Genomic DNA, 8,659 nt, shown 5'->3' on the forward strand with positions numbered 1-8,659 from the left:
TCATGTATAATACATTTTCTGGGCTGGGCGCGGTGGCTCATGCCTGCAATCCCAGCACTTTGGGAGGCCGAGGCGGGCGGATCACAAGGTCAGGAGATCGAGACCATCCTGGCTAACACGGTGAAACCCCGTCTCTACTAAAAATACAAAAAATTAGCCGGGCGTGGTGGCGGGCGCCTGTAGTCCCAGCTGCTCCGGAGGCTGAGGCAGGAGAATGGCGTGAACCCGGGAGGTGGAGCTTGCAGTGAGCTGAGATCGCGTCACTGCACTCCAGCCTGGGCGACAGAGCAAGACTCCATCTCAAAAAAAAAAAAAAAAAAAAAAAGAAATCCATAGTAATAAGATAGCTGGAAAATCTTTAAATATTTGGAAACTAAATGGCACTTCCTGTAAATAACCTATGGACCAAAAAATATTACAGCATTGTGAGGGTTAATCTTAGGCATCACCTCCACTGGGTCCGGGATGCCTAGGTGGCTGGTGAAGCCTTGTTCCTGGGCGTGTCTGAGGGGGTGCTGCAGAGGAGACTGACATTTGAGTCCATGGACTTGGAAGGGGAAGACCCACCCTCAGTGTGGGTGGGCACCCTCCAATCGGCTGCCACCGCGGCTGGGACAGAGCAGGCTCCTGTGCGCTCCTCCCACCCTTGGACATCAGACTCCAGGTTCTTCATCCTTCAGACTCTTGGACTTAGACCAGTGGTTTGCCGGGGGCTCTCAGGCCTTCAGCCACAGAATGAAGGCTGCTCTGTTGGCTTCTTGCTTTTGAGGCTGCTGGATTGGGACTGAGCCTCTGCTGGCTTCCTTCTTCCTCAGCTGGCAGATGGCCTATCATGGGACTTCACCCGTGATTGTGTGAGCCAATTCTCCTTAATAAACTCCCTTTCATGTATACATATATCCTATCAGCTCTGTCCCTCTGGAGAACCCTGACTGATACAAAAGTAGATTTGCTTCCTAGGGCCGACATAGAAAGTGCCACAGACTGGGTGGCTAAAAACAACAGAACTTTCTCTCTCACAGTTCTGGAGGCCAGAAGTACAATATCAGTTTTACTGGACAGACATAAGGGTGCTGACAGGGCCACACTCCCCCCAGAGACTCTAGGGAGGCTCTATTCCTCGCTATTCCAGCCTCTATAGCTCTAGACATTCCTTGGCTTGTGGCCACAGCACTGCGGTCTCTGTCTCCATCTCCTCATCACCCTCTCCTCTGTGCATCTGTGTTGAAACTCCCTCTGCCTCCCTCTTCTAAGGATCTGTGTGATTGTGTTTAGAGTCCACCAGGAGAATCCAGGGCTAACCCCTTCTTACAATATGTTTAATCTAACCACATCTTTTTATCACATAAGGTAATATTCACAGCCTCCAGGAATTGGCTGTGGTCATATCTTCAGAGCCACCATTAAGCGTACTATACAAAGGAAATTAGAAAATATTTTAAGTCGAATGATAATGAAAATAGAAAATATCTAAATCTGTAGGCTGCAGCTAATGTAGTAAGAGGAGGGAAATGCTTAGTTATATCTGCTTAATATCATAAAAGAAGGAAAACGGAGAAAACACAAACTATGAATATCAGGAACAAGATAGTAGCATTGCCACAGATGCTACAGACAAGAAAATGATAAAAAGAAATATTAGAAAGAATCTTGTCAATATATTTGGCAACTTTGAAGAAGTAGACAAATTCCCTGAAAGACACAAATTACCACAACTGACACAAGAAAGGATAATTTTTTTAAAGCATGACTTTATATATCCCAGAGAAATTGGATTTGAAATTAAAAGCAAAGAAAATTTCAGATGGCTTCACTGATGAATAATGTCAAGAAAGAAAGACACCAATCTTACTCAAATTTTACCTGGAAATAAAAGAGGGAAGGATATTTTCCAATTCATTTAATGAGCCCGGCCATGAGTTCCTACTCAATCCAGATGACACATTAAAAGGAAATAAAGTTACGCATGAATGTTCCTTATGAACAAAAGTGTAAAAATCCTCAACAAAATATTACCGAGTGAATCCAGAAATAGAGAAAACAGATAATACCGTATGGCCACTGTGGGTTGACTTGTGCACTCCAAAAAGACATGCTGAAATTTTAACCCCAGGTACCTGTGAATGGGCCTGTATTTAGAGATAAGGTCTTTGCGGGTGTAATTAGTTAGGCTAATATAAGATCATGCTGGAGTAAGGTGCTCCCTAAGTCCAACATAGCTAGTATCCTAAATCTGACATGAAGAAAACAGAGATACAGGGAGGAGAAAGCCATTCGGAGAGGCAGAGACCACGTGTCCACCAACCAAGGAAATGCCAAGGATGGCCAGTGGCCACCAGAAACTGGAGGAGGAAAGAAAGGTTCTCCCCAGAGCCTTTGGAGGGAGTGAGGCTCTGCCCTCACCTTGAGGTGGAGTCCTGGCCTCCAGCACTGTGGGAGGATCTGATTCTGTTGTTTCTGTTTCTGTTATTCTGGTAGAGTAGCTCAAGAAAATTAGTACAATGGTCAATGGGATTTGTTCCTGAACTACAAATTTGGTTTAATCTATGAAAAGCAAATAATGTAATTCACCATGTTAACATAAGAAAAAAAATCATCTCAACGTGTCTAGAAAAATTCATTTAACATCCATGATTAAATAAAACATTTCAGGAAACTAGAAATAAAAACATCTGTAATTGGATAAAGAGCATCTACAAAACACCTACAGCTAGTATCATACCTAATACTGACAGACTCAGTTCTGTTTCCCTAAGGCTGAGCAAGGTAGGATGTGTGCTCTCTCTGCTTCTGTTCAACATTGTACTAGCCAGTAAAATAAGCCAAGAAAAGAAGTAGATGGTATACAGACCAGTAAGGCAGAAGAAAATCTGCCTTTATTTGCAAATGACAGGACAAAGTACACAGAAAATGCTAAGCAATTGCAAAAAAAAAAAAAAAAAAAAAAAAATTAAAAAGCTGCTAAAGCTATCAATTTAGCAAGGTTGTAGGATGGAAGGCCACTATAACAAAAGCCTATTCTTTTACCATATACGAGTAGTGCAAATATTGGAAATGAAATTTTAAAAGAACCTTTTACTGGCTGGGCGCAGTGGCTCATACCTGTAATCCCAGCACTTTGTGAGGCCGAGGCGGGTGGATCACCTCAGGAGTTCGAGACCAGCCTGACCATCATGGTGAAACCCCGTCTCTACTAAAAATACAAAAATTAGCCAGGCGTGGTGGCAGGTGCCTGTAATCCCAGCTACTTGGGAGGCTGAGGCAGGAGAATCGCTTGAACGCAGGAGGTGGAGGTTGCAGTGAGCCGAGATCGCGCCATTGCACTCCAGCCTGGGCGACTCTTGTCTCAAAAAACAACAACAACAACAACCAAACAAACAAAAAAAAACCAAACTTTTACAATTGCATAAGAAGCATGCTTAAGGAGAAAATTAACAAAATAAATGTTAGACCTGGAAACTACGCTACAAATATAATAAATCGATGAGAAAAATTAGAGGACTTGAATAAATGATATGTAGACTGAGCTCATGGGTTGAATTGGTCAGTATTATTAATATACTAATTCTTCTGAAATTGATGTATACACTCAATGCGGTCCCCCCATGGCCCCCCGATAAGCACTATATGCGTGCACATCATGTGTGCTGATGAATGTCCTCTGCACACATGTCTGGAGATTTTAACCCACTGGGTCCTGAATAATCAGGAACCTAGAAGTCTTTTTAAAGCCCCACAGATAATTCTGATGGACAGCAAGGGTTTTAAGAAGGACTGGCCTAGAAAACTGTCAACACCCAATCAGAAAGCAGGATGACCTGCTGTAAAGAACAAGGTAGGCCAGGCACAGTGGCTCACGCCTGTAATCCCAGCACTTTGGGAGGCCAAGGCAGGTGGATCGCTTGAGGTCAGGAGTTTGAGACCAACCTGGCTAACATGGAGAAACCCTGTCTCTACTAAAAATACAAAAATTAGCTGGGCATGGTGGCTCATGCCTGTAATCCCAGATACTTGGGAAGCTGAGGCAGGAGAAGTGCTTGAACCTGGGAGGCAGAGGTTGCAGTGAGCTGAGACAGCACCACTGCACTCCAGCCTGGGCAAAAGAACAAGACTCCACCTAAAAAAAAAAAAAAAAAAAAAAAAAAAACCGAAGAAAAACACAAAGTTGCCTCCTACTGAATTATAAGAATTAAAAACGAAAACAACTCTGCTTTTACCTGACGTTGTAATTAGCACAGAATTCCAAAAACGGCCTTTTCTTCCCGCCTTTTCTTCTGTTTGCCTCCAGAACAGGGTGCCTGCTCGCTCATCACACAGGTTGGATAAGATCGACAGGAAAAACCCCTCCAACAGCACAGCAGAGCAGCACAGAGCCCTGCCTCTCTCCAGCTGGGGAAGTCGGGAGCTGAAGTGGAAAGCTGGTTGAAGAACAATGTGAAAAAAATGAGGCCTGACTCAATTCCTAAAAGCGGCTGCCTGACCTTATGCAAGCCACAGCTTCTATTTACAAACCCAGGAAACTGGACAAAATACTGAAAGGATCCCCTAAGATAATGAGAGTTAACAACAGATGCAAAGCAAGGTTCTGTGGAAATGTAAGGTCGTGTTACCACGCAGGGCTGAAAAGCTTTCCTGACTACTTTCTGATTTGCGTATACTAAGGACTATTTCAAGAGGGTGACATTTTATGAATTAAAGGCATGCCACTTCCATTCACAGTGCTGTTCTGAGAGATTCGATTCTGTCCTTGACAATCTAAGAAAATCTTAACTCTGCATTATGTAAATACTAAGGACACGGGGTGTTTCGAATGAGACCAACCTCGTATCTCTCTCAACTCCCTCTCCTCCCGGGGCCACCCTTTTCTTTAATTGAAAGCACAATAAACTTAATCAGCTGCTCCTAACGATGCCTGCCCCAGCCTGGGAGATTCAGCAAGGCTTGGGGCGTGCATGACAAAGAAACACACACTCCAGAATCTCACTTTTGTTATTCCCCAGCCATCTTTTGTTATGTGGCATGGGAAAAATCTTAATGAGCCTGCCCTGCTGCTGCAGAAATTCTTGTCAGATGAAAAGCAGCCCCTCCTTCCACCTGGCAAGGGCTTACAGAGAACACAGCAGCCCACATCTACTCACGTTTCCTGAAACAATCCCCTATTTAACTTCCTAGGCAACAGAAAATCTGAAGAAAATGAGATACCACAGAAGATGAATTTGATGTAACAAAAAGGTGTTTTAAAAAGATAAGTAGAGAGGCCATCCTACAAAATTTCATGGCTGACAATGGTAAAAAAGATGCAGAAAAGGACCATCTGGCCTGAAAAATTCAGCCGGGGTCGGGGGAGGGGGTCCCGCAGCAGAGGCCAGGCCTTCAAGGATGGGGATCCTCTTCTGTCTTCCTTTTCTCAAAATGTTTGTTGGATGATGGACTTAATTTTAAAACCCCAAGTCACTGCGGTTTAGCCAGCTATGGATGATGAAAGCACTACAATCATTGAAACTGACAAGGAGGCAGTTTCCTTCAAAAATACGAAAACTGTACGCAGAGTACATGGAGAAAAATGTGACACAAGCATTTGGACACACTACTAAACAACAACATGGGACAATATAGACAACAATTGGAAATACACTTTGAGGAGGTAAAAAGTTCAGTATTCACTGGCTTCCTTTTGGAGGTTGTTAAATTGCTGAAATTCAAATAAAAGTCATTGAGCCATTGTGTCTGTCAGCTGTGCCTCTATCTCACCCCCGGGTGGGTGGAGGTCCCCCTGGCTTTATTCTCTGTGTTGTTGCTGCAGATCCAGATTCAGGATTCCGCCCTGAAGGTCTGCGTTCCCTCCCGAGACAGCCTCTGTTTCAAAATGCACAGCCATTCTTGACAGACAAGAAAGGGATGTTGAAAAACAAGTCATGCTTTGGATTCGTGTGGCTTTGAGATACAGAACGAATGAATTATTTCCTGCCTGGCCCAGAACACTTTGCCTCGGTACAGGAGTGTCAAGGCAGAGTGGGTGGGGAAGATGAAGGGTGAGGGAAGCAATTGCAATTAAAATCCATAAGGAGCCGGAGAAGGTGGTGCTCATAGATGGATCCCCTAACTGAGTTTAGAGGGCACAGGAGGAGGCGAAGGGAAGCAGTCTTTCATATATGTGACTTAGGAAATATATAAGGATTGTGTATTTTACGGCACTTATGAGATGGGATAATTCCTTGACTCTTTCATGGGTAGGAACTGGAGTGCACCTCTGGGTCCAGTTGGCCACTTCAGCACTAGCAGGGACGAACTTCAATCACTTGAACCTGCTGGACTCAACCCCTCATGGGAGGGAGCACATAGGCGAGTGGGTGCTGGGACCCTGGCAAGGGCTTTTGGGCTCCAGACCCACAGCAGCATCTAGGGTTGCATTACAATTAATGCTCTTTTAGCTTTGCCGTCCACAGATGGCTTAAGTGTTAAACAGCTCAGTGAAGAGTCAGTGTGACAGCCTTTATGGGTTCCCACATCCAGTGCATGCTGAATTCTTGTCCAGCGTCCAGGAAGAATCGGGCCACACAAATGGTTTGAAAGGTGATGAATGCAGAGGATTTTATTAAGTGGTGGAAGTGGCTCTCAGCAGAAGGGGAGCTGGAAGTGGGATGGAGCAGGGAGAAGGTTATCTTTCCCTGAAGCCCGGCCATCTGCAGCCAGGCTCCTCTCTGAAGCTGTGCCGTCTGAAGTTAAGCCACATCTATCCATAGTCTCTGATGCTCAGCTGCTTCTTCTCTCAACGTTCAGCCACTTGTCTCTTTGCCAGCTGAGGCCTGGGGTTTATATAGGCACAGGATAGGGGGTGGGGTGGGCCAAAAGGTAACATTTGGGCAAGAAAACAGGGATAACTGTTCTCATTTAGGGCTATGGTTTCCAGGCTTGAGGGTGGTGACTTGCCAGGGAACTGCCCTCTTCTGCCCAGTATTTCCCTGCCTCCTGTCCATATCAATTTGATATTTTTTGTGACACAGGTAGATAATTATCATAATCTGAAAAATAGCTTTCCATTGCAGGGGAAAGGGTTTGAGGTTCTGTCAACAACCCATGGACCTCTGGTCTATAGAATGAACAAAGAAATAATGTCATATAGATAAGCTACCTTGAGCCTTCTGGCAATTTCAGACTGTTTATAAATGTCTTGCTAAACTGTGAGGCCTACAAGGACGTAGGCTATGCCCGTCTTGCCTGCCATTACTTACCCAGCCTGGCACACAGCAAACACTCCGGTAATAGTGGTCACGCCAAAAAGTTATGACCACTTGGTGTCACTCAGCTTCCAGACTTTGTTACCTTACCAAGCCCGCTCCCACCTTCTGCTAACCTCCTGACCTTCGGAAGAAACCACCAATTCTGCAGTGGGCTCTGCACGCTCCCCAACTCTCAGCAGCAGTGTTGGTTAAACGAGTGAACATTCTGGTCTCTTCTATGAGCAGACCCAGGGGGTCAGCTGAGTCTCAAGTGTACACAAGGAGAAAGACATCCATGGGATAGCAGGGAGTTAGTGACACCAGCGCCCACAGGGCATCATGAACTCCACCTGGAGTCAACTCAGTGCTCTGCTGTCAAACTCCCCACAAGAAATGACAAGTTTGTGTCCTACAGCATCAATGCAAGGAGCCTGGCACCTACCAGGCAATTTCCAGCTGTCACTCATAGCTCAGCTCCTTGTAAATCTACTGCTAATGAGTTTATCTTGATTCTTCATGGACCTATTTAAGAATTCAGCTCTTCAATTTCATGGGGTATTTGCTGAGAGCAACAGACACTAGGAGAGGCCATGGTCTCTACTTCTTGCAGGAATTCTCTTAGGTTTTCTGCAAAGTGGGGAGCAGGGCTTGCCCTGTCTACTTCAGCCATACCCAGATAGCTTCCATCTCCCTTTGTGAGGCCAAAGGTTTTATCCTACCTGCATATGGAAAATCATTTTCCCTTTAAGTTTGCGGGTGCTTTTTGCCCAGATAAGCTTGCCTCAGGGTCCGGAGATGCTGCTCTTTATCACAGTTACTGGGTCCCATCTCCCCTCTCTGGGAAGCCCCTCATCTTCTCATGCAGATCTCACCAGAACTTGATTCCTGCAGGGGCTCCCTGCTGCACCAGCCCCACCGTCCCCAGCACCCAGCGTGTCTCCACCTGCGTGATTCGGTGAAGGCCCATCTCCTCCCAGGCTCAGACTCACAGTGGCAGAAACCATGGCTGGTTTTGAAGACAGATTTAACGCCAGCTCCGCATACCAAGCCTGAAACAGAAGAAGTGCTGGCAATATCTGTGGAGTGACAAAGTGCTGCACATTGCATTACCTCACAACTTCACAACTGCAGGATAGATTCCTGTCTGACTTTCTCCTTTGTGTCACGTCCCTATAAAAAATTAGTTGCACCTTCTCTTGGCTTTTTGACATAGGATGTATCTTCCACTGGCTTTTTTAAATAATAAATTCTGGGGCGACCTAGCATTCCTTTGGCTTTTAATAAAGTGTTTTAGAATGTCTCCAGGTTCCTTGTGGGCCTTTAGTTTTGAACATTTCACCATTATCCCCCAGCTAATCCCCGTGTCGTGCTGCCCCTCACCCGCGACCCTACACGTTTCCCCTCTGCTTCTGTTCAACGCTTTCTGAAGATGAGAGCTT

General features: G+C 45.3%; 2 annotated features.

Moving 5' to 3' along the window:
- Positions 4,303-5,171: an enhancer, noted in NCBI's record as "OCT4-NANOG-H3K27ac-H3K4me1 hESC enhancer chr6:167854012-167854880 (GRCh37/hg19 assembly coordinates)". NCBI's record gives its function as "activates a minimal SCP1, AML or CMV promoter by ChIP-STARR-seq in primed H9 embryonic stem cells {active_cell/tissue: H9 hESC(primed)}" and the evidence as "EXISTENCE:reporter gene assay evidence [ECO:0000049][PMID:30033119]".
- Positions 5,172-6,041: an enhancer, noted in NCBI's record as "OCT4-NANOG-H3K27ac hESC enhancer chr6:167854881-167855750 (GRCh37/hg19 assembly coordinates)". NCBI's record gives its function as "activates a minimal SCP1, AML or CMV promoter by ChIP-STARR-seq in naive H9 embryonic stem cells {active_cell/tissue: H9 hESC(naive)}" and the evidence as "EXISTENCE:reporter gene assay evidence [ECO:0000049][PMID:30033119]".

This window comes from Homo sapiens, chromosome 6 (genome assembly GCF_000001405.40).
Source record: "Homo sapiens chromosome 6, GRCh38.p14 Primary Assembly".
NCBI classification, from domain to species: domain Eukaryota; kingdom Metazoa; phylum Chordata; class Mammalia; order Primates; family Hominidae; genus Homo; species Homo sapiens.